We start from the raw sequence: 26,335 nt of genomic DNA on the forward strand, positions 1-26,335 counted from the left end.
AAAGAAGACATTTATGCAGCCAAAAAACACATGAAAAAATGCTCATCATCACTGGCCATCAGAGAAATGCAAATCAAAACCACAATGAGATACCATCTCACACCAGTTAGAATGGCAATCATTAAAAAGTCAGGAAACAACGGGTGCTGGAGAAGATGTGGAGAAATAGGAACACTTTTACACTGTTGGTGGGACTGTAAACTAGTTCAACCATTGTGGAAGTTGGTGTGGTGATTCCTCAGGGATCTAGAACTAGAAATACCATTTGACCCAGCCATCCCATTATTGGGTATATACCCAAAGGATTATAAATCATGCTGCTATAAAGACACATGCACATGTATGTTTATTGCAGCACTATTCACAATAGCAAAGACTTGGAACCAACCCAAATGTCCAACAATGATAGATTGGATTAAGAAAATATGGCACATATACACCATGGAATACTATGCAGCCAGAAAAAAATGATGAGTTCATGTCCTTTGTAGGGACATGGATGAAATTGGAAATCATCATTCTCAGTAAACTATCGCAAGGACAAAAAACCAAACACCGCATGTTCTCACTCATAAGTGGGAATTGAACAATGAGAACACATGGACACAGGAAGGGGAACATCACACTCTGGGGACTGTTGTGGGGTGGGGGGAGGGGAGAGGGATAGCATTAGGAGATATACCTAATGCTAAATGATGAGTTAATGGGTGCAGCACACCAGCATGGCACATGTATACATATGTAACTAACCTGCACATTGTGCACATGTACCCTAAAACTTAAAGTATAATAATAATAATAATAATAATAATAATAATAATAATAAATAAAATAAAATAGTCAAATACAAAAAAAAAAATTAGCCAGGTGTGATGGCATGCCCCTGTAGTCCCAGCTACTCAGGATGCTGAGGCAGGAGAAACGCTTGAACCTGGGAGGTGGAGGTTGCAGTGAGCCGAGATACTGCCACTGCACTCCAGCCTGGGCACAGAGGGAGACTCTGTCTCAAAAAAAAAAAAAAAAAAAAAAAAGTGTTTTCAATTTAGGCCCACAGAACTCCTACATTTTAAGTTCAAGCAAATATAATAAGGAAGCAAGCCACCAGAAGTTAGTGGTAATGAAAACAACTAAGAACACATTTAACACCCAAGGACTGCGGATATTAGAACTGTCAAATACAGATTATAACTATGTATGAAATATTTAAAGAATGAAATGATGAACTCACAAAAGTGGATAAGCAGTAAGACATTATCAGAGATTATCAGGGAGATTTGAAAAGAACCATATAAAACTCTTAAAAATAAAAAACGGTTTTTGAAATGAAAACTCAGCAGTTTAGATGCAATTGAAGAAATAATTAGTGAACTGGAAGATATAACTGGAAAATTATCCAGAATGCAGCAGCACAGAGAGACAGAAGATGAAATAATGTGAGAACAGTTAAGAAACTTGGAGACTAGAATGAGAAAACCTCACATGTCTGAGTAGAGTCCCAAAAGGAGAGAGCAGAGAGAATGGAGGAAAGACTTGCTTTTTTTTTGAGACAGGGTCTTGCTCTGCCACAATAGGCTGGAGTGCAGTGGTGCGATCTCGGCTCAATGCCACCTTGATTTCCCAGGTTCAAGAGATCTTCCCACATCAGCCTCCTGAGAAGCTGGGACTACAGGTGCACACCACTATACCAGCTAATTTATCTTGTATTTTTAGTAGAGATGAGGTTTCTCCATGTTGCTCAGGGTGGTTTCAAACTCCTGGGCTGAACTGATCTGCTTGTCTCAATCTCCCAAAATGCTGGGATTACAGGCATGAGCCACTGTTCCTGGCCAAGGAAAGACTTAAAAAGATGATGGCTGAGAAATATTCAGAATGATGACAGACATGAATCCTCCAATTTGGGAAGCACAGACCAGGTATTTTTTTTTAAAAAGAGATCCATATACACGATAGTAAAACTGCCAAACTGAACGATGAAAGAGAGAGACAAGAGATAGATCACCTACAAAGGAATGGCGTTAGTAATAATGGGCATCTGAAAAGAAACAATGGCAACCATTACACCATGGAATAATAGCCATCAACTTGAAATTGTGCATACAGAAAAAGGTTCTTTCAAGAATGAAGATACAGTAGAGATATTTTTAGATTAAACAAAAACTGAGTCTATCAGGACAGGGCATTCAGCAAGGTAACATCTTTGGAATTAAAGTGATCCCAGAAGGTCTTTCTGAGATGCAAGAAGGAAAAATGAGCAATAAAATGGTAAAAAAAAAATGTAAAAACATTGTCTTTATACAGTAACAACAAAACTATTATTAATTTTTATTATTATAACTGGCAGGGCTAACAAAGGGCAAAGACTAAAATACTATGCAAATGCCAAGAGTAGGGGTTCAGAGTTAACATGTCCTGAAGTCCTTGTATTGTTATAGAAGGGGGTTAAGATAATCTCAGAGTTTGTTAAGTTAAAACGTATGTAAAGTTTCAAAGTAAACCTCTAAAAAAACAAAAGTAGAGGTATAAATCCCAAATCAATAGGGGTAAAAAAAAAATGGGATTTAGAAAACAAGAACCTTCTGATGATGGCAGAGACAGGCCATCTGGAGTGGCCACTGCCATCACGCTGGCTGCAGCAGGGAGGTGCAGCTGCAGGCCCAGGCCTCCCACTCCACGAAGAAGGCAGGAGCCCTGCCCTCCCAGGCACAGCTGCAGCTGCCCAAACCTGGGGCTGCTGACCCAGGACTCCCACGCAGGGGAGAAGGCATGAGCCCCACCATCCTGGGCACAGCTGCAGCTATCCAAACCCCAGCTGCAGACCTAGGCATCCCTGCACTCTTGGGGGCCTGGGAAGGCCCCCTTGCCCTCACAGGCTCAGAAGTGCCTGCCCCTGAGACCTGGCTTCTCCCTGCTGTTGGCACCTGCTTTAATCTCAGAGCAAAGTTAGGGCAAGCCCGGGCACTGTTGTGGCCCAGCCAGGTGTGCACAGGCTCAGGGCAGTGCTGACATGCCAGCCGCCTGCTGCCTCTTCCCCCTCTGGACTTTGGGTGCCAATGAGCACAGAAGGGAAGCCAAAGGGGTGCTGAGGGCAGCTTAGTGCAGGCCTGCAAATGCCCCTTGGCACTTACAACCTGGGTGTCATGAATGGCAGCAGGAGGCAGACAGGTTTCTGAGAAGAAGGGGGCAGGTCCACATTTAGGCCCTACCTTTAGGGCAGGGAGGGCCTGACGGCTGGGTTTGGGCTGCCAGTACCATGGACAGGAGTGGGAACTTGTGGTGCCTTTTCTGGGCCTGCCCATGGCTGTCCATGGACCAATTGGCGTGCACTTCCTCCTCTCTGAGGCCCATAAAAGCCCTGGGCTCAGCCAGAGTTGAGCATACATCAGGACGACCAGCTGCAAAGAGGAGCTATCCACTCCAGGGCCCCCTCACTGCTGAGAGCGGCAGAGATGACTGACGCCCTGTCTGCAAAGAGAAGCCACCCACTCTAGGGCCTCCTCCCTGCTGAGAGCTGCCCAGATGATGGAATGACCAGCTGCAGAGAGGAGTTACCCTCTCTGCTAGGAGCTGAACACTCGACAGGACACCCTGGCTGCAGAAAGGAGCTGCCCTATGGGAGACTGAGCTGTTCTATCACTCAGTAAAGCTCCTCTTAGTCTGGCTCACCATTCACTTGTCTGACTACCTCATTCTTCGGGGTTGCAGGACAAGAACTTGGGACCTGGAGAATGGCAAGGCTGAAAGAGCTGTAATACAAAGAAGGCTGAAACATGCCCCTTGCTCTCTATATTGTGGGAAGAGAGAAGGAGAGAAGAGCTGTGACCCCTCAGGGAGCCCAGACCTAGGATCTCCTCGAGCCACGGCTGTGACTCCCTCTTTGAGACCCTGCAGTTCCCAGCATCTCTAAGCTTCTAGGTGCCACCACGTTCCCCAGTGCCAGACAGGGAAGCTACCTGCACCCAATCCAGCCACAGCCTTGCAGAGAGCAGGCACCCATGCCAGCACCTGGAGCTGCCCGCTCTGCAGTAGCAGCCAGCATGTCTGACTGCACAGTGGCTGGGCCCTGCACTGGCTCACACACCCCTTGCCACTCCACATCTGACTCGCAGTCTCCCTTGGAGGCGTGGGATCCAGCCTGGTGGTATGAGCTGAGCGCAGCCTGCCAGGGCGAGTGGGCGGAGCGAGCCCATCAGGCCCAAGCAAAACTTGGGCAAAAGCGCCACCAGCCACAGGTGTCTGGCTAGAAGAGCGACACCCCAGAGATCCTGAAACGCTGCCACCTTCAATAAAAAAGATTTTCAACCAATCAAATTTTTAAAAAGCAAGAAAGGAAGAGAGAAAATCATTGAAAACATGGAAATTGAGAAAACAAAATAACAGAAACAAGTTTAAACATACTGATGTTCCCATTATATGGAAGTGGACTAAACTCACTGGCAAAAGGACATAGACATGGTCAAACACTTGGAGAAACTTAAGCTATACATAGGCTGCATACAAGAAACACACATAAAACATAAGCACTTTGAAAAGTTCAAAGTTAAGTATGGTAAAGATAAACCTGGCAAATACTAACCAAAAGAAAGCTGGAATAGATATCATGTTATCAGACCAAATGTGTATTTAGGGATGGATGAGGTCACTTCATGATAATGGGTCCGTTCACCAGGAAAATACAACTGGTAAAGCTGCACCTAATAAATTAGCCTCTACATGTATAAAACAAAAATCGACAGAATTACTGAGAGAAATGAACCGCCATAGTAGGATATTACAAAGCAAGCCCCTCAGTTATTAATAGGCCAAGCAGAAAAATATAATAAAGATTATCATTTGAATAATACAATTAACAAGCTTAATTTAATGGGCATAAAGAGAATATTATTCTACCTTTTACCATCTCTGTGAACGCAAGCAGGTCACTGGACCTGTTTCCTCATCTGCAAAGCAGGGACGACACTATTTACAGTGTTTTTGTCAAATCTAAAGTGTCATTGGCAATAAGACTTACCATGATATTACGTGTCTCTAGGCAAGGAAGAACTCTGCCAGTTAAATGCAGGCTGCCAATTCTAAGTCCCATCTCAATTTTAGAGATATTAAAATGTAAAAAAAAAAAATGTGACTTAGGATCAATTAAATGCTGCATCTCATATGAACTGCATGATGGTTAAAAAGAGATGTCAGTAAAATACCAGACCCATGCTTTTCCTGCTCTCTATGCCTCCATAACTGTAGGCTGCAAGCAGGTGAAGGTAAACTAGGGGAGAGCATGGTACAAATCTGAAGTGGGAATGTTCGTTTTTAGCTTCCACACATCCATTTGTGTTCTAGACACCCGCACCTCAAAAATAACCTCAAAAGTTTCCTTAGAGGGAAAATTAAGTCAGAATCACAACAAAGTGATAAGACCACCTGCTCACCAGGTCAGTAGGACTGGAGAAGAGAAGGGATGTGTGAAGAAAAACACAGGATGGGGAGGCTGGCGTCAGATCCGCCCCCTGGAGCAGCAGTGATGCTGAGAGTGGGAGTTGCGTATATTCCAAAGAGCAGGGCAAGAATGAGGAAGGCCCGTGGTGCAAGGCCAGGGAGGGTCAGCCTCAGCTCTCTCCTGCCCTAGGCCTGGGCCTCTGCAGCCTGCAGTAGGGCCCGCGGGACTAAGAAGGTCCTTCAGCCAGCCCACCGCTTAAAAAAAATGGGAATAAGAGAGACTTCAAGGAAAGTGATTGGAGACAGGGCATACGTCTACTTTCCAAATGGATGAAAAATTCAGACTACTAAATGTAGCTTTGCCGTTTTCAGCAGAGGCATTTTTAGTGTTTTAATTATATCACTATTTTTGAATGGCTTTAAATATAAATACTCTTCACTACTTTGTGAAAATCAGGTTTTTTTTTGTTAAAATCCTTTTTTAAAAATAAATTTAAAAACAAAGGAACAAAAACAAATAAGCCTAAAACTATCTTTGACCTGGAGAGGCCTCTGTCCCCTTGGTAAACAGATCTACAGGCTGCCTGTCCTTCCAAGGCCATTGAAATGCCACCTCCAGACCTCTGTGATTCCCAGCTGGAAGTGCTCTCGACCCCCCAACCTCCAGGAATGCTTGCGTCTCTCTAGTGGCACTGGTCACTTATCACCTCACCCAATTTGGGTGTGTTTGTCCCACCAAAGACAGTGAGATCTTTCAAAGCTCCGAATTCCCTCTCTCCACCTCCAGCCACTCATAGCACTAGGTGTCAAACAGTGAGTTACAGAGTGAATTAATCCTGATGGTCACCGAGGAACAAAGTATGCTTTTAGGAATTCTTTACAAAACTCACTTTTTTTTTTTTTTTTTTTTTTTTTTTTTTTTTTTTTGAGAGAGTCTGTCTCTGTCCCCCAGGCTGGAGTGCAGAGGTGCAATCTCCGTTCACTGCAAGCTCCGCCTCCCGGGTTCATGCCATTCTCCTGCCTCAGCCTCCAGAGTAGCTGGGACTACAGGCGCCCGCCACCACACCCAGCTAATTTTTTTTTTTGTATTTTTAGTAGAGACGGGGTTTCACCATGTTAGCCAGGATGGTCTCGATCTCCTGACCTCGTGATCTGCCCGCCTCAGCCTCCCAAAGTGCTGGGATTACAGGCGTGAGCCACTGCGCCCGGCCCAAAACTCACATGTTTCTATGACAGGGATTGACGTTGATTACAAAAGAATACATTTGTTGGTAGCATATTTCGTTTATTGTTGCGAAATTACACAATAATACAGTTAAAATTCTCTGAAGTAATGGCCATCACCTCTCTGAAAAATGACACCAAGCATTCAACATTTTATCTCGTGTTTTAGTTTTCCATGGCTGCTTTGAAAAATTGCAATGAACTTAATGGCTTACAACAATACACACTGATTATCTTACAGTTCTGTACATTAGAAGTCCAGCATTGGTCCTGCTGGGCTAAAATCAAGGTTGGCAGGGCTGTGTTTTCTTCCGGAGGCTCGAGGGATAAATCTGTTTCCTTGCCTTTTCCAACTTCTGGAGGCCGCCCACATTCCTCGGCTCTTGGCCTCTCCCTCCGTCTTCAAAGCCAGAATAGTGGGTTGAATCCTTTTCACACAGAATCACTCTGACTTCTCCTTCTGCCTCCTCTTCTCCCACTTTTAAGACCTTTTGATTACATTGGGCCTACTCAGATAATCCAGAATATTCTCCCCATTCCAAGGTCTTTAACTTAATCACTTCTGCAAAGCCCACTTTGCCAGGTAAGATAACCTATTGGTGGGTTCTGGGGATTAGGATGTGGCATTTTGGGGAGGCCATTATTCTGTCTACCACACCAACTGGCACACTTGTTCTGTGTGTATGTGTGCATGTGTGTCTGTCTGTCTGCCTGTCTGTCTGGGGTAATTACATAGGGGCCTCAGACCTTTGAACTGATCAGGAGAGTATGTAATTTGGGGTGAGGGGGTGGAAGTGGAATTCTGCCCATTGCTCCTGGCTGCCCAGGACTGGGGAGAAGGAGGTACGGATGCGGCAATGGGACAGCTCTGGCAAACCTGCCAGGCACTGCTAGGTAACCTTTTTTAGAAAAGTTTTAAGAATGGGCTAAAAAAGCCCTGGCCCCTGATCCAATTAATACGTATTAGCATTTAATTAGTATTTAATTTAATTGGTATTTATTAGTATTCAAAATCAGGGGCAGTCCATCCAAAACCACAGCTGAAGAGCTGGCACACTGCAACCATTCTTCCATGATACCAACAACAATGAAATTTCAGGGTTAAGGGTGACCCATTTAAGAAATATATTTTTGCAGAAGAGGCTTTAGAGCAGGCCCTTTCAGCAGTTTGAATCAGAAAGTGCTGAAGTTCCTCAATTCAGTTTTAATAGCAGCAGCTTCCTTTGCAGATGTAGAAGAGGCCCTCTTTTCCTTCTTGGGATTGTTAAATCTACATTGACAAAGTTCAGACCCTGGAGCATACATGGCTGTACACACAGTAGGTGCTTGAATAGCTGTTGAGCTGAATAATCCAAAACCTTTTATTTCTAGGCTATGAGTAAATACAAAAAGATTAGATTGGAAGCAATTTGGTGATATCTAATAAGATTTAAAATGAACATATCCCTGACCCTGCAGTTCCATTTCTTGGTATCCATCCTAAAGAAATATTTGCATATGTGTGTAAGGATGTACATGCAGTGTGGTGGAGTTTGCAATGGTCACAGATTAGAAACAGCTTAAACGTCACTTGAGGAATGGCAAAATGAATACAGTACATCCATACTAAGCAACTTAAAAAAAAAGCTACATCTATATGTTTGAACATATTATGCAGTGAAAAAAAGCAAGTTTTGGAACAATATGTATCAGTGTGATTTCTCCAGAAATTATATATTTTATAATATATATACACAATAGAAATGTACATAACATAAACTCTTTCTCCCTATGTCTCTGTCTCTCTCACACACTCTTTCTCCATATACATGACATAGAAATTTCTGGAAGCATAAACAGCAAACCGGAAACAGTTGTTACTCTGGGAAGGGGCTGGGATGGTCTTGAAGGAGTGTGGGTTGGTAAAAATGGATTTTTACCTTGACCTAGGTTGTGTGATTTTTTTTTTTGCAACAAAATGTGCTTAAGTGTAATGTAAAGTAATACATATATATATATATATATATTTTTTTTTTTTTTTTTTTTTGAGATGGAGCTTTGCTCTTGTCATCCAGGCTGAGGTGCAATGGCATGATCTCGGCTCACTGCAATCTCCCCCTCCCGAGTTCAAGCGATTCTCCTGCCTCAGGCTCCCAAGTAGATGGGATTATAGGCACGTGCCACCACGCCTGGCTAATTTTTGTATTTTTAGTAGAGAAGGGGTTTTATCATGTTGGCCAGGCTGGTCTCGAACTCCTGACCTCAGGTGATCCACCTGCCTCGGCCTCCCAAAGTGCTGGGATTACAGGCGTGAGCCACCATGCCTGGCCAAAAGTAAAATATATTTTAAGTTAAAAAAAAAGAAACAGAATGAAATAATTTAACATTTTAAGATAATATCAAAACTGATTATCAAATCTATTAAAATGTTACACACCACAACAATTAAGACTGAAAGTTCAAAAATATTTATTCGGATTTTGTTAAAAGCATATGTGAATGTGTGCATATATATATATTTCAATATGTATCTAATTATATTTATATACATACTACATCTACCTATTATTTACCATATCTATCTATAAATACTATATATATATCTATATACTACATGTATCTATATATACTTAAAATAAAATGCATAAATGCTGCTTTGGCTAAATCATGGATAAATGTGTCTTTTAAAAAATCATTGTTCTTATTATTTATAATGGCAAATTTATCTCCTATATGATCATGATTAATTTGGCAATTGAATACAATTTGCCTTTTAAATAATTCAATTAACTTTAGTAAATTAAAAAAGTTTACTGACATAGTTGCAAAATTAAGAAAAACCTAAAACACTGCTTTACAGTATATAGCATCCCTTTAAATGAAACCCTTCCAAGTGTGAAGAATGTGTTACGGTTTTATCAAATGAATAATCTTTGGGTAGAAAAATGGATCCAAATCATGATTTAAACTTTACAACCACTACAGTCTTTCCATTTGAGCAAACTCCTTTTGGAAACTGAGATGGTAGGGGTGTTACCTCAGACCTCTGGGGATATCCCAGGAAACCAAAGCTGCTCTAAAGGAATTGTACAAGATTGACACCAACAGGAATTCCTTTCCAGAATCTGTGAGACTGTAGATTGGGTGTTTAGTTCCACTGAGAAAAGGAGAAGCCACTGGGCTTTCTATTTACTGAAAAAACAGTCCTGAAGATCCTAAATGGTCTGTGCGTGCACGGAAGTTGCCAGAGGTGATCAAATCTTCCCCTCACCCCACAGGGAGCAGACTGCAATCATGCACCTGCTGGTTAACAGATAAGCCCTCCATATGCGGAGGCACTCGCCCAGATGTGCAGAGGATCTGAGCCGGCCCAGTCCCTCCCCCATCCCCGCAGAACAAAGGGCGGTCATTTCCTGCTCCTCCCAGAGTCAGAGACATGCACACGCCTTCCATCACAATTAACTCAAGAATCTGAAACACAACACAAACCGACCCGCAACAAGCTCAAAATCAATGCTGTCAATACCCAGAACGAGGACACCGAAAAAGCAACACAAAACAAACCTATTCAAAGAGTAAATACTCAAAGCAACAGGGCTCCAGTCAGACATACTACAAGGTCAACACATTCAAGACAAGTTCAAGTACGGAGCGCTTTATAAACTGAAGAGCTGGCTGTTCTCCCAGGGGTGGCAAAAGTAAATGCCTTCAGGGGACAGGTAATGGAAAGGTCTATAAGGTAATAGAGGGTGGACCTGTCATGAACTGAACCATAGGTGCCCCTGATGAAGATTTCAAATGCAATTTTTCAAAATTTCAACTCCTGCTACATGATTCTTAAACAGTGAGTTGACAATCAGACAGATAATAAAGCAGAATTAAATATAGGTTTAGGGTGGATGAAATCTAAGAGTCAAAATCAGAAATGTCAAAAAGTCCACATAGGATGAAAGGCAGGGCAGTGATCCTAGCTTTCATTGTTTGAAAAGACAGTGATCATCTGGTTTATATCTTCAAAGGCAATAGCAAAACAAAACCTAAAAGAAATGGCTTATTAAACTCTAATATGTGGGATTCAGATTAGTCAAATCGGTTCTTGACATAAGTAACTATCGAGCTGGATTACAGTAGGATTGCCACGTTCGCTTGGATGGCTCAAAGTAAATGGAGCCTCCGAATACTATAGGTGTGGTCTTATTGTAAGGCAAGGGGTGGACCAAATGACCTCCCAAGGTCCTGATTTAAATATGTCTGTATAGTCCACTTTTGGTTATCCAGCCCAAAAAAGGAGACAGTGACAAATCATCCAAAGCTGAAGATAATAAAAAGTTATATTTGCCTTTGGAATGTATTTTGGTACTCAAATTAGAATGTGTCTTTCTGATGCGCTGAGAATTCGCAATGCTTCACAACAGCCACAAAGAAAGCCTGACCTGGAGCTGGGAGACTGCCCAATTTTGCCATCCTGTCTTCTGTGTAACTCTTATTCTTTGCTGGGGGTGAGCAATAAATATCATCTTTCAGAATAACATCCAGCAGCCTAAGCTTTCTCAGACAGAGGCTGCTTTGCTCAACCCTGCCCTGGAAGAAGAGATAGGGGTCTCTCTAAATGGCTGATTTCACATCAAGACCCAGGATGGTCTAGTTCTTGTTTCCGGAGGATGACTCCAAAGTCCTATAGGACCCACATAAACAGCAAGCTAGACAAGGTTGAGACTTCTAAACCTTGTAGTCAGTGCAAATGATGGTCTAGCTTCACTAGCACAGAGGACACAAAGGCACATTTCTTGAAAGAGAAAGAGAAAAAGACTTCATTGAAGAGGAAGACGAAATGAATGCCCAGCACTTGGAAAGAAAGAAGCTGAAGGCTCAGGAGGTGCAGGAGCAATCCCCTGCACATCAAAGGACTGGCAGGATAAAGACCTGCACACAGAGCCCACATTTACGCACAGGGCTCAGGGAACTGACCTCAGCGACTGGGCCCATGGTGGCACATATCATTCCCTTTGACCTGGAAAGGATAGGGAAACTGAAAATTCTGCTACCAAACAGCTCTGCTTCTTCCCAAACAGACCCAGGCCAGCACCAGCCCTGGGGCCAAGACCTTCTCTGCTAGTTCTGTTCTTCGCAGCTGAAAGATGAATCTTGAGGAGAGCAATGCAACCTGTGCCTACTATTTCAGCATGCCTTTGAGAGAGATGCTGTGGAAAGGGGCAAAACGATAGCAAAAATAATGAAGTATGCTGTAAGAGGCTCTTTGCATCCTCCTTTAGTGGGTGTGCTTGGCCCTTCGCACCCTTTCTTTCCTTCCATCTGGAACCATGGGAAAAGAGTACAAAAGAGTGGGGGGTGGGGTGGGGGGGCACCCAACGGGTCTCCTGCAACAGCCAGGGCAGAAAGAGGGAGAGCCAGACCATGAGAAGCAGAGTTGGCTGCTCATTGTAGGGGCAGGGGCTGGGGGAGGAGTGCAAGGTACTGAAATCAGAGACAGCTTTGCAGTGGAGACAGGGAGAGGCTTTCCATGCTCTGAAAGGCTTTCCATGCTCTGCAATCTGGCTAGCTCCTTCCAGATGTCCAGGTCCCAGAAGGAGAAGAAAATAGGGTGAAGACACTTTCTGTTCATATCTCAGGTCTTACTTTTTTCCACATTAACCTGAGGGAATACGAGAGTATACCATCTTCCAAGATGAAAGGAGGGCATAATAGTAGCAACTTGGGGGGCGAGGAGGAGGAGAGAAGGACGGTTGCCTTGCCATTCTCTGTCCTCTGTCAGTCCCCAGGGTCTATCAGGGGAGGCCAGGGTCACCAAGTAGGAGGCAGGGCAACCATCCAAACAGAACATCTCAGAGATGCATCAAAGTCCTTTAACCAGAGATTCTGGCAGGGTGGCACATGGCTCTGGGAGTCAGTTTGGGTATGGACTTAGTGAGGAGGGTGTCTCCCTGATTCAGAGAGCAACTGGACAGTCACAGAACTGGACACAGGCAAGGCTGATTAACTGCAACCCTGCTCAGGTCACCCCAGGTAAAAAGCGTCATTACAATGATTCCATTTCTCCTTTTCTGTCATATTCAGCTCTTTAGTTTTTTCCTTCTAAAAGCCCAGAACTGTACTGTCCAATTCAAATGTGGCTATTTTTAATTAAAATAAAAGAAAATTTAAAAATTCAGTTCCTTGGTCACACTAGCCATTTCACATACTCAGTAGCTACGTGTGGCTGGTGGATTCCATACTGGACAGCACCAACACAGAACATTTACATCATCACAGAAAATGCTTCTGGATAGCACACCAATCTACATCTAGAAGGCCTAGAATTGAGCAACTCTACTCTTTGCAGTGTAGAAGAAATGAATAGACAAAATAAAAACTGTACTTTACAAACAATCTTTTCTATACATCATCACCACTAACCGCCATGACTACCCCGTGAGGCAGGCCAGTAGATTTCAATATGCCCATTTTACTTAGATGAGGAAAGTGGGTCTGTGTAAAGTAAATTGCATAGGGTTTATAGATACTAGGTTGGCTACGGTTAGAATTAAAACCAGGTCTTTCAATTCCAAGGTCAAAGCTTTCTACTGTTACATGCAACTGCTGCAAATAATGTTACCCGCCAGTTACTTTAGTGCTACCAAAAAAGCTCAGGCCTCCCAGAATGAGGTCGACAGGCCCCTGTAGTGTTTTTATTGATTGACTGATTTTTGAAGTGATAACGAAACTTTGTACAGTGTAGTTTGGCAGCTGTAGAGTTAGGAAGCCTTGGGGTTCAGATCCCGACTTATCTACTTACTATTTACTTAGCAGAGAGCAAGTTGCTTACTGCCTCTGAACCCCATCTGCCTTTTCTCTCAATGTGGATGACAATACATTTACTTCATAGTGCTGTTGGGGATGAAATAAAATGAGGGATGTGAAATAAGATGATGCATAGTGTCTGGCACATATTAGTGCTCAATGCACAATCTTTTTTTTTTTTTTTTTAGATGGAGTCTTGCTCTGTCGCCCAGGCTGGAGTGCAGTGGTGCCGTCTCGGCTTACTGCAACCTCCGCCTCCTGGGTTCAAGCAATTCTTGTGCCTCAGCCACCTGAGTAGCTGGGATTACATGCGCGCGCCACCATGCCCAGCTAATTTTTGTATTTTTAGTAGAGACGGGGTTTCACCATGTTGGCCAGGCTGGTCTTGAACTCCTGACCTCAAGTGATTCACCCATCTCGGCCTCCTAAAGTGCTGGGATTACAGGCGTGAGCCACTGCACCCGGCCCTCAATGCATAATAATTATCAATGGTGATTGGCAGAAATTTACAATGCACTGTCACACACAATAGCCTAGGAAGGCTTCAAGACAACAAGCCATTACAGTTATTCCCCTTTTTACAGATGATATCTCTGAATGTCAGTGAGTAAGAGACTCAAGGACATAAAACTGGAACGTTTACACCTTAGGGCATGAACTCAGGCTATTTGGATTCCTAGTCTTATGCTTTTTTTGCAACCCAATGTTGGTTTTCAGGAGAGAAAGGAGCCGTGGGCAACAAGGCATGCTCAGCGGAGGTTTAGCTAACCCTCTTAATTTCCATCTTCCCCCCTCTTTGAAACGGTTAATTAATGTTTTCTTAGTCTTATGTAAAGTGCTGTGCAAAGGCAGCTTTGAGCATACCCTTCTACCATAATTGTCACCCTTAAGCCCTTCCTGTATAGAGATCCTAGAGCCCCACTGGTAAAGAAGTAATATCTGCATAATCAAGTTGGCTTAAATATGAAGAGAAGACAGTGCCTTAAAGCAGAGCATTCCAGTTTTCTCCCTGAAAAGCCTGTGGATCAAACACCCTTCTTCCAAACTTCCTTCCATCCTGACCCACTGCAGTAGCAAAAGACAAGGTCACAGCACCCCAGAACCCCAGCTGAGCCCAGCCAAGCTGCAGCTGAGCCACAGACAACCACAGACCTATGAGTGAGAACGTATGTTGTTGCAAGTCACTGGGGTTTGGAGTTGTTACACAGCCTTATTACAGCAAAATCTGATTAATATCTGTCACACTGAGGGTGGGAGGCACTTACCCCGCCACGACGATCTCAAAGTCCCCATCATGGTCCACATCAGTAACTGCCACACCATAGTTGAGCTGGGTGGGATTACTGTCATAGTCAGGAGGCAGAACTGAGTTGGTGACTGCAGTGAACATGGGTTCAGCCCGCTGGGACCCCTCAGTGATGGGCAGAAACCAGAGCAGCAGCAGGAACGGTAACATCCTGGACATCTGAAACCAAAAGTGACAAATGTTACCGAAAGAACCTGTAACCAAAGCAATCCCGGAACATTAAAGTCCTGGGTAGGCCCAGAGTGCCTTTCTCTCCCATTCATGGAGAGCTTGACAGTGCCTAGGCTGCTGGCTTTCCACAAGCCCTGCCCTCCCCTCCCTTGCCCTCCCCACCCTCATTGAAACTGCAACCTGACTCCATCATGGCTGATCGCCCTTAGCCTGCTCTGCTTTTTCTTTTTCTACAGCATCTATCATTGTGTGATGTTTGGTATAATTTACTTATGATTACACTTATTATTTATTGTGTGCCTCCCTCTGCTAGAGTGTAAGCTCCACTTGGGCAAGGATCTCTGTTTTATTCACTGATATGCAGCAAGCCAAAGGTAGTTCACATAATAGGCACTTCTTTCCTTCATTTATTTCATATTTGTGGAAGGAAGGAAAGGAGGGAGGAAGGGAGGGAGATGGGGAGGGAAAGGTATAAATACAAAGGCATTTCCCATACTCTGGGAGAAAGACTGGGCGAATGAAGAACCTAACAGCTCTCAAACAATGCAGAGTTTGGGTGAGACCCTCATGAGTATCCAGATCTAGAACAATAATAGATGCAATGAAAGACTGTTCTCCTGTGGTACATACTCCAGAGGTAGCCAGGGGGAATATGTGACTTGGCAGGTTCCTCATGCCAACATCCCTCCCTAGGGCAGCTGGCCATCACCTCCAGACCAAGAAGCAGTCAGTTAGGGGAGGCGTTCCAGCAGGATCTGGCGGATAGCACATCATTCACTTGGAGAAATTAAACCATTGCGTGCGTGTTTTATTATAAATTAATTATGTATAATGCATTGTATAATTCATTATTATATCTCTAACATAACTCAGGGTGTTGCCAAGTAGCCTGGGGCCATGGGAGCCTGTGGCACACACCCAGGAGACAGATGAAAATGGCCAAGGAGGTGGAGGGATTCCACCCCCCTTGAGTGAAAGCAAGGGAGACACTTGGAACGCTGCAGATGGCACCACCCTGAGACTCTACCTGCAGGCCTAGAATCAGCACTCATGAAATGTTTTAAAGGCTCTGCTGGAAGGAGGTCCACAAAGGCTGCATGGGTCTAGTCCCAGCAGGCAAAGCGGTACTTTCCTGCCTTCAGAAGGTAGCAGACCTCTTCTAGATGGAACTTTTCCTGCTGGCTTGTCAGTGCATCTGGCAGCCAAGGCAAGGCTGACTGAGGCTGATGTCTTAATGAAGGGAAGAGCAAGGAAGATCTGAAGACTGTCTCCCCATATGGAGACAGATGCTCCTGCCGGCAAATGAGCTTGCTGTTCAAGGACCCAGAGACCAAAATGAAGGGGCTGGGCACTGCCTTCAGAGCCAGACGTGATTCAGGAGCCTCCTGAATGCCTTGCTGGAGAGGCTGGGGAGTGACACAGGGGCAAGGCTCCAATTGCAGGGCAGAAACTGGGAAGGAGGTTCTTGTAGTGTGTTCACAGGGCACATGTGGGGTGTGGCACTACCAAACTGAGGTCATTCCAAATTACAGAGATGTCTGAATGAGACAGCATCTTCTACTGGGTTTTCTAATCACTAAAGACAAATGCATCATGAATCACTACAAGAGCTCTGCAACTTGGCAGGAACTTTGATTGGATAAAGGAAACTCATAATTGGATTAATGAGCAGCTGGGTGGGGATGGGGGAGGAAATGGGAAACTAAAGAGTATTTAATAACCAGTGTCGACATGCCGAAATGTAGCATGGATCTGAAGGTCATTGGACTTTTCAAGGGATGACCTCTATTGTAGTGAATGGCAAAGGAGTTTCAATTTGAGGGCCAAATCCAATTGACTGGCAGTGGCTGGAAAGAGTGCTGTGATCAGCTTACAACATCAGCAATGGGCATGGAAGAGAAAAGTGGCATCTAACATGTCTTTTCGAAGCTAGTTAGTTCCTCCCAGGCACCACATCTGCAATTTGGGTCACGGCCACCAGGGAGGCTGGCCCCATTCAGGTAATATGAGCCTAAAAGTTCTAATCATTAGAACCTTTCCAGTGAAGGCCCTAAGAGTCAAGAATTATGATCTAGCCTCTTTAGTTTTACCTTTTCTTTTAATTAAAGAAGACATACGAAAGAAGTAGCTGCTGTGTTATCCGTTTCCAGATAAATAACCTAAAGCAAGATGAGAAAGAAATAATGCACCCATTGGCTGACCTCTATTTTGCTTGGGTGACCTTAAAACAAGTCACAACCTCTTTGGGTCTCAGCTTTCTTCTCCAAAATAAAGGTTTGGAGTTCTCTAAAGGTCCTTTCTGGCTCTAAAATTCTATGATGAATTAAAAGATTTTGTTTTTTGGATGCAGACCTTCAACAGTTTTTTCCCTCCTAAGCTGCTTCTATAAACTTCAGGCCAACCCATGTGGTTTTCCTTTCTAAGGATATTAAACATATTTTGAACAAGACAAGCTTTTCAGCAGGGTTCTACAGTAGTTGCCTCACAAGGGCCAAGGCCAGAGAGGAGCAAGCCATCATTAGTGTGGATCCTGAACTCACCCAGCATGAGTAGACCAGTGGTTGGCCTCCCCATGAGACCAGGGAGAGAGTGGGGCAGGGAGAATAAGTCCTTTACATTTCATTCCTCTGCCATGCCAAAGGCACCCAATGCACCCACCGGGCTTCTCAGTACCAGTTGAAAAGTCAGGGATAAGCAGTGGGCTGTCTTGATGGCGTATTTTTTGGGCAATGGTTACGGTGAGGAAGCTTAGAAGAAGGTCTGTAAATATAATATTTACCCTCTTTTTGGGGGGTTCAGATAAAGGAAATCATTTAAATGCTCTTCTCCACCCTGGCTACTCAGAGCAGTCGGCAGACCAGTGCATCGGCATCACTTAGGAGCTTGTTGGAAATGCAGAATCTTGGATCCCACTCCAGACTTAATAAATCAGAATCTGCATTTTAACAAGATTTCAGATTATTCCAATGCGTGTTAAAATTTGAGAAACACTGCTCAATCTTGGCTGTGCATTGGAATCATCTGGGGAGCTTTAAAAAAATTCTCATGCCTGACAATAGTTTCTTGGATAAGACAGCAAAAGCACAGGCAACAAAAGAAAAAATAGCTAAAACAGACTGCATGAAAATTAAAAACTTTTGTACATCCAAGGACACTATCAAAAGAGTGAAAAGAGGACTCACAGAATGGGAGAAAATATTTGCAAATCATATATCTAACAAGGTATTAATATCCAGAATATATAAAGAACTCCTACAACTCAACAACAAAAAAACTAAACAACCTGACTCAAAACAAATGACTTGAATAGACATTTCTCCGAAGATATACAAATGCTCAATAAGTACATGAAACATCACTAATCATTAGGGATATGCAAATCGAAACCACAATGAGATACCATTTCACACCCATTAGGATGGCTGTAATAAAAAACAAAAACAGAAAAAAAGTGTTGGTGAGGATGTAGAGAAATTGGAATCCTTGTGCACTGCTGGCAGAAATGTAAAATAATGCAGCTGCTGTGAAAAACAGTATGGCAATTCCTCAAAAAATTCCAATTAGAATTGTCATATGATCTAGCAATTCCACTTGGGCATATACACAAAAGAATTGAGAAAAGAGACATGAACAGATATTTGTATACCCATGTTCATAGAAGTATTATTCACAATAGCCAAAAGGCAGAAGCATCCCAAGTGTCCATCAACGGTTGAATGGATAAACAAAATGTGATATATGCATACAGTGCAATATTATTCAGCTTTAAAAATGAAGGAATTGCTTTTATATAGGAAGAAAGAAAAAATAAAAAATAAATAAAAGGAAAGAAATTCGGACACAGAGTACAAGGTGGGTAAATCTTGAAGACATTATGCTAAGTGAAATAAGCCAGTCGCAAAGGGACAAACACTGTATGTTCCACTTCTACGAGGTGTCCAGAGTAGTCAGATTCATAGAGGTAGAAAGCAGAATGGTGGTTGCCAGGGGCTGGGTATAGGGGGAAATGGGAGTTAGTGTTTAGTGGATTATGGAGTTTCCATATGGGAAGATGAAGAAGTTCTGAAGGTAGATGGTGGTGATGGTTGTACAACAATGTTAACGTACATAACATCACTAAAGTATATACTTAAATATGGTTAAAATTGCAAATTTTATGTTCTGTGTATTTCATCACAATAAAAAAATACTAATGCCTGGGTCTCATCTCAAGATATTCTGACTTAACTGGCACAGTATATGTAGCAAGGGCACCAAATTTTTGTTGCTGTTAATATATAATCATGGGATATCAGATTTTTAAAAGCTCCCACATGATTCTAATATGTTGCAAAATTTGATGAGCAGTGCTCTATATCAGTGCCTCTCAAACTTTAATGTGTGTATGAATCACCTGGTGGTCTTGTTAGAATGCAGATTCTGATTCAATAATTCTGCAGTGGAGCACAAGATTCTATATTTCTAACAAGCTCCCAGGTGGTGGTGGTGATATTGGTCCATAAACTACACATCGAATACCAGGTTCCATACTGTAGCTCCCAGAGTCCTGAAACCAGGCTATATACTACAGTGAAGGCACGAGATTGGTTTAAGAACATTCTCCTCTGCCTCTGGATCTAAGGAGCTGAAATCAATCCTAGGTTATGCAATCTCCAGAGCTGCCCAGGCTCAGTTTATCTTTACACACTCAAAGTGCTGGCTGTCTTCAGCTCAAGATCAAAGTACCACAATTGACAAGGAGTGACAAAGAGGGATTCTGACTCTAATTTTTATGAAGAGGTGAGAAGGGGAAAGGGTTGATGCTGCAGAGAGGGTCAGGTCAAGGAGATGAAGGACAGCTCCCATCAAAGGGCAGAGTCTAGGAAGAAGGGGTTCTGGGTAGGAATTTGCAGGCCAAGATAGAAACATATGCCACTGTGTTCCCAGAAACCATCATAGTGCCTGGTACCTAGCAGGCGCTCTGTTAATATGTGTTAAGTAAGCGCGGGAATGAGTATGTCCAATTGATAACATGAATCAACAGAAACTGCTTGCAATTTGTCATAGGTGTTTAAAAGCCGTTCTTCCTCTAAAGAAATGCTCCTCAAAAGGCAATGTGCTTACCAATCACCTGAGGGTCATGTTGAAAATACAGATTCGGATTTGGTAGGTGTGGGGTGGTCCCTGAGAGCCTGCATTCCCAGGAAGTTGTCAGGTGATATGAGACTCTAGGCTGGCGGCTCTGAACCCTAGCTGCCCAACAGAACCACCTCGGGTGGAGGTGTTTAGAAATATGCCACCACCCAGGTCCCTTACCCAGTTTCTGATTGAACTGGTCTGAGGTGGGAGTTTGAGTGCTGTGTATTTTTAGAAGCTGCTCAGATCATGTTAATGGACAGTCTGGGCTGAGAACCACTGCCCCAGCCTTGTGGTCCCCAGATGGGAAGCTGCAATCTGATTTGAAGTGAGAAATGTTTCTGCTACCCAAATTCATCACCGGCTGGTTGAAGTCTATAAAGAAAACCTATTTATCTAGGGAGTGTCAGAGGAGGAGGGGGGATATAAAGTTTTGGGGGAAAAGCAGAGCAGGATGACACTGCCTGAAACAGAAGAGCAGCTGGCACCCGGAGTGACCTCGCATTTTGTGTGGCTGACTCAGGGAGCCTCTTGTCACACCACTGTGAACATCTGAATCCTTGGGGAGAATGGTAGAAAGGTTAAAAATAGAATGAAAAAGTAGGTTGAACTGAACTGTTTTGTTTTCTTGAATGCTTGTGTATCAAGCACCTACTATGTATTAGAGCACTGGGAGTAGCACTCCCCGGCAGGAGTAGCACTAGAGAAGTACACAGTACACAGTACTCCATGCAGAGATGTGGAAGGTCCTAGGAGTGCAAAGATGAATAAAACCCAGCCTTTGCCTTCAAGGAGCTCTCCCAACAATCAGCGGAGCAGCCATGTGATCTCAGGTGTAACACCCCGTGTAAAGGCAATGGGAGGCTATCCAGGTAAAGCAGCCCAGACAAGGCGAAGCTAAATATCAAAGGCAGAGGGGCACAGGGCCAGAGCGCAGGGTGCCTCGGTAAGGGATGTGGGCTTCTCCTGCAGGGGAGATGTGCGGAGGGGGAAAAGAAGGGACTTCATAAGGGCCAGAGATGGGAAAACTTGTGTTTCAAGCTGTGAGAAGAATTGTTTTTTAATAATAATTTCTTTTCTGTTTTTTGAGATAGGGTCTCACTCTGTCAACTAGGCTGGAGTGCAGTAGCATGATCATAGCTCACTGCACTCTCAAACTCCTGGGCTCAAGCAATTGTCTCACCTCAGCCTCTCAAGTAGCCTAGGACTCCAGTGGGGTGCTAACACTCCTGGCTATTTTTTTTTTTTTTTTGGTGGAGATGGGGTCTTGCTATGTTGCCCAGGCTGATCTTGAACTTCCTGGGCCCAAGCAATTCTCCACAGTGGCCTTCCAAAGTGCTGAGATTACAGGTGTGAGCCATCGTATCTGCTAATAATTTCTTAAAAATGCTCTATAAGCAAACTTTTTGAACAATTCCCAGCAAGGTGAAGAGATAGAGAGATAAAGAGAGGCCAGGCATGGTGGCTCATGCCTGGAATCCCAGCACTTTGGGAGGCCGAGGCAGGCGGATTGCTTGAGGTCAGGAGTTCAAGAGCAGCCTGGCCAACATGGTGAAACCCCGTCTCTACTAAAAATACAACAAAATTAGCTGGGTGTGGTAAGGGGCACCGCCTGTAATCCCAGCTACTCAGGAGGCTGAGGCAGGAATTGCTTGAACCCAGGAGGCGGAGGTTGCAGCAGTGAGCCAAGATTGTGCACTGCATTCCAGTCTGGGTGACAGAGCAAGATGCCCGCAAAAAAAAAAAAAAAAAAAAAAAAAAAAAAAAAGAGAGAGAGAGAGAGACCAACATTGGGAGTTAGCAACCTGGCTTTGGATCTCAACCCTACCACAGCCTAGCTCATGACCTTGGGCCTATTCCTTGATCTTGTTGGTCTTTGGTGTCCTCATCTGTACCATGGAGATCGTATGACCTGCCAAGATTTCAAGGGTTAAGTGAGTGACAGGGAAGGCCTCTCCAGGGCCAGGCAGGCGGCAGCCAACTTGCACGTTCCCCTTCTTTGACATAGAGAGCTGAAAGGTGAGATAGTCTTTAGACATTAATTGTGGGTTCCATGTAGCCAAACTCAGTTTTCTGTGGCCTCAGGACTTTCCTGAATTGGGCCTGGAAACTGGTAACCAAGCAACCTGGATTCTCTGACGTGGGGTCAGGCAGCTGTGGGGAAAGTCTTCCAGGGCAATTTTCGGGGCAAACAGTTCTTTTGCAATTATGGAAAGAGCCAAGGTCACACCCCAAGCTCTCATAAAAACAAGAAGCCTAAATATTTCCGACGTTGGCGACAAGCAGAGAATACACAGCCTTTCAGACACTTGTAGGAGGGCTGAGACATGAAGGAGAGAGGCAGCCACGGGAACACTGCCCCACACAGGCTGGGCCACCAGCTCCACAAAGACACCCACAAAAGAGCTCCTGGAACTCAAGCAACACTGGAGAAGAGCTAACAGGAGCTGCCCTGGGTCTTCACCTGTGACAAGACTTCTTGCAGACCCTCGATAACCCTGGCATTGTGCTAGGTGCTAGGGTCACAGCAAGAAAGCTGCTCACCATTTGCAGTACAGGGTGAGGGGTGCTGCGGAGGAGGGAGCACAGAGAGATGTAAGTTAGCTGGGGGGGGAGCTGGGAAGTGCTTCCTAGAGGGAGGGGTTGTAGCTGGACTCTGAGGATGCCATGAAGTTAGCTGGGCAAGGAGAGGCAGGAGGAGGAGCAGGAAGGAAAGCAAAACAGACAGAGAGCCGACTTTGCAAAGGTCAGGAGGACCCAGCCTTCACCCAGCCTGTCCTTCCCTATCTACAGACCCCGCCGCCTGGCTTATAAGCTAGGAGGCAGCACCCATTTCCCCACATTGCATGTTTCCAGCCAAAGGCCCTTCCATCAGACTAGAGCAGTGGTTCTCCACCACGGCGATTTTGCTGCCCTCTGGCCCTGGGGACTTTTGGCAATATCTGGGGACACTTTTGGTTGTCACAACCAGGGAAGAGGTGCTTCTAGAATCTGGTGGGTAGAGGCACAGGATGCTGCTGAACATCCACAATGCACAGGACAGCCCCCACAATTATTCAGCCCAAAATGTCAACAGTGCTGAGATGGAGAAACCTTAGCTAGATTGACATTTTGGGCCTCCGTCTTTACTCTGCTCCCTTCTCCCAAGGGAGGGAGTTTGAAAGAACTGGTCAGTTTGAAAGAACTGGGATCAAAGAGCCCTCCCTGGACCTGCCTCCCTGCAAGGGCCACTCTGCCATGTGTGGAGCTTGGCCAGGCAAGCTCTGCCCTGCCCCCACCCACAGAGAAGCCTGCAGTGGGCAGGGATAAGGTGTCAGCAAGCCCCACGGGAGCCTGGCCTGCCAGGCAGCTGCCTCTGGAATAAAGGTGGCATTTCCCTCTCCACCTGCCTGAGCCCCACCTGTCTTGTCCTTTCTCTTAGTTGGCCCTGAATCTGAGTCGGGGAGTGGGATGCTATTCGCTGGGCCCCTTCAAACCCCAACACTGTCACTCAGCCTGGAAATCTGGCACCATCTCTGCTGCCTCTTCATTCTTCACACCCACTGGATCCCTGAGTCAATTCTGCTTCACAAATCTCTCTCAATCCTGCTCAGTTTTTCCACCTTTCCTGTGGGGGATCTGCCCCTTTCTCACTCACCTGAACAATAGCAATACCTGCTAACTGCTTCTGTCTCTCCTCTCCCCTCCTCCCACTTCCACACGCTGTCAGAGCTCCCTTCCTAAATCTCAGAGTGGGTCGTGTGGATCTTCATATGGACTCTGGACACCAGACACACAGAGAGGCACATAATTGATATTTTGCATAGCAAGTACTATACGAGGAATGGATAGTAACAATAATAATACATATCTACCACTGACCATGTGCCAGGCATTACTCTAACCCTTCACATAAGTAACCCACTTAATACACATAGTAAGCCTGTGAGAGAAGAACTACCACTGTCCGCATTTTACAGATAAGAAAACTAAGGCACAGAGAGGGTAAGTAACTTGCCCAAGGTCACACAGCTAGTACCTGGTGGATCCAGGATGTGTGTCTAAGCAAATGAGCTCCAGAATTCTTCAGCACCATACTGAATAGTTTCTCTTATGACATCAAATTTGTCTTAACCATGAGATGGGAGCACAGTGAAAGGAGCAACCACCTCTGCCTGGGGAAGCTGGGGAAGGCCTAAGAGGCAACGCCAAGTGGGCCAGAGGAACAAGGTGGAGAGAGTGTTCCAGGCTGAGGGGAGCAGGTGCATGGGAGATGTGCAGGTTTGTGTAGTGCAGTGAGGCTCTGCAGTGCAGACTCGGGGCAGGGGCAGGACACCTGGTGGGAAGGAGTGCAGCAAAGGAGGCTGGAAAAGACCTTGGAAGCCTTGTGAGTGACACAGGCCCAGTGGGCCAGGGAATGCCATGGCTGGAGTGGTGTGTTAGAAGGAATACTGTGTCAGTACAGTGTGAAGAAGGTCATGAGAAAGCTGGGCTGGAAGCAAAGAAGCCAGTTAGGAGGCAAATACTGTGGCCCAAGTGAGCAAGAACACTGGAGGCCACTATTCACTCATTCATTCATTCATTCATTCATTCATTCAGTATTTCTTGTGCACCTACTCTATGTCAGGTACCGCTCTGGGCACTAGGAAAACAGCTGAGAACAAGATGAAGTTTTGGTAATGTATGGCATTAGCATACATTCTAATGCTTCTGTTTCTCCACCCTGTCCCCCACCCTTGTCCTCTGTATTGCCAGCCTAAGAGACAAACTCCAGACCTCTACAACTCCCTACCCCCCAGAAGGTGGCATGTTTCATGCATTTTCCCCAGCACCAAGAAAATGTAAGAATTCCTCTTCCTCCCCTCTACCTGGAGACAGCTCTAGACACTGCCTGCAGCAGCACTCATAGACAGGAGACTTGGGCTTGCTCCAGAAAAAGGCAGACAAAACCTCGGGGGACCCAGGTGAGGAAGTGCCACAGAGGCCAGTGGGCTAATGAAATGGTGTTTCTGAAAGTGAGAGGACAAATGGAATCTCCTAGCCTTATGCAGAAGTCACAGCAGGTTCTTAATAGGTACTATTAACTGCTCAGACTTCCCGTTCTGTAAAATGGGAAATAATGTTTATCGGGTTGCCATGAGAATGAAATGAGGTGAATGTATGTTAAGTGCTGAGCATAATGCCTGGCATAGAGAAAGTCCACACGTGGTAGGTAACAGTACCAATAATCACACCATTACTACTAGTAATAAATGTTTGTGAGATGCATGAATGCATCTCAGGTGAGGGAGTCCAGGCCTGCTCGGTGCTCCCCTTCCAGGAGTAGTTGCCAAATGTTGAATGGAATGCTCTGGGCTATGAGACTTTGAGGAATAGGTTTGCTTCTGTAACTAATTTGTCTAGGGGACCCTGATGGAGTTCTTTGACTCCTTAAATACTGCTTCCTAAGCACAGAACCCCTTAGCATGCTATGCTATACACATTAATTCTTCAAACATTGAGAAGATGCCTATGGGCCACGTTAGAAATGATGAAAAAGACGTGGTCCCTGACCTCAAGGAGCTTACAATCTACCAGGGGTGAGACACAATTCAGTGGGATAACCTCAGAGTAGAAACAGGTACAAAGTAGGCCGGGTACGGTGGCTCACACCTGTAATCCCAGCATTTTGGGAGGCCGAGGCGGGCAGATCACAGGAGGTCAGGAGTTTGAGACCAGCCTGACCAACATGGAGAAACCCCAACTCTACTAAAAATACAAAATTAGCTGGGTGTGGTGGTGCATGCCTGTAATCCCAGCTACTTGGGAAGCTGAGGCAGGGGAATCACTTGAACCTGGGAGGCAGAGGTTGGGGTGAGCCGAGATCACGCCATTGCACTCTAGCCTGGGCAACAAGAGCAAAACTCCTTCTCAAAAAGAAAAAAAAAGAAAGAAAGAAAGAAAAAATAAAAGAAAAAAAGAGACAGGTACAAAGCCTCGACACAAGCCATAGGAGGGAGGGATTAACTAGGGACGTGGTGGGAAGGGCAGGCAGAAAAGGCTCTCTGAAGATGGTGAATTGGATTCTAGATGCTGGAGACCTATGGATCAACGATATGGATGTGAGACAGCTTGATACATGCTGTGAATGCATTTGTTGCTGCTGGAATGCAATGTCTGGGATATGGGGTGGAGGGGAGAGAGAAGAGGGGAGGGTGGGGACAAGGATGGAGACACAGTCTTATGTGGGGCAGCAGCTGGGGCCTGGAGAGCCTGCTATGCCACGGTAAGGAGCCTGGAGTCACACCATGAGGGAAGTTTTGAAGTCGGGCAGAGACAGGATCAGACTTGCATTTT

At 44.8% G+C, this 26,335-nt stretch overlaps 1 protein-coding gene across 2 annotated transcripts in view; it reads right to left on the reverse strand.

The window, feature by feature from the left end:
* The window catches only part of CRTAC1 (cartilage acidic protein 1), a 165,622-nt gene that overhangs the window by 131,445 nt on the left and 7,842 nt on the right, over positions 1-26,335 (reverse strand). For both annotated transcript variants that reach the window (NM_018058.7, NM_001206528.3), the window contains exon 2: positions 14,694-14,893. In NM_018058.7, the coding sequence (NP_060528.3) occupies positions 14,694-14,893 (200 nt within the window). The remainder of the gene's footprint in view (positions 1-14,693; positions 14,894-26,335) is intronic.

Source organism: Homo sapiens, chromosome 10 (assembly GCF_000001405.40).
Source record: "Homo sapiens chromosome 10, GRCh38.p14 Primary Assembly".
Lineage (NCBI taxonomy): Eukaryota > Metazoa > Chordata > Mammalia > Primates > Hominidae > Homo > Homo sapiens.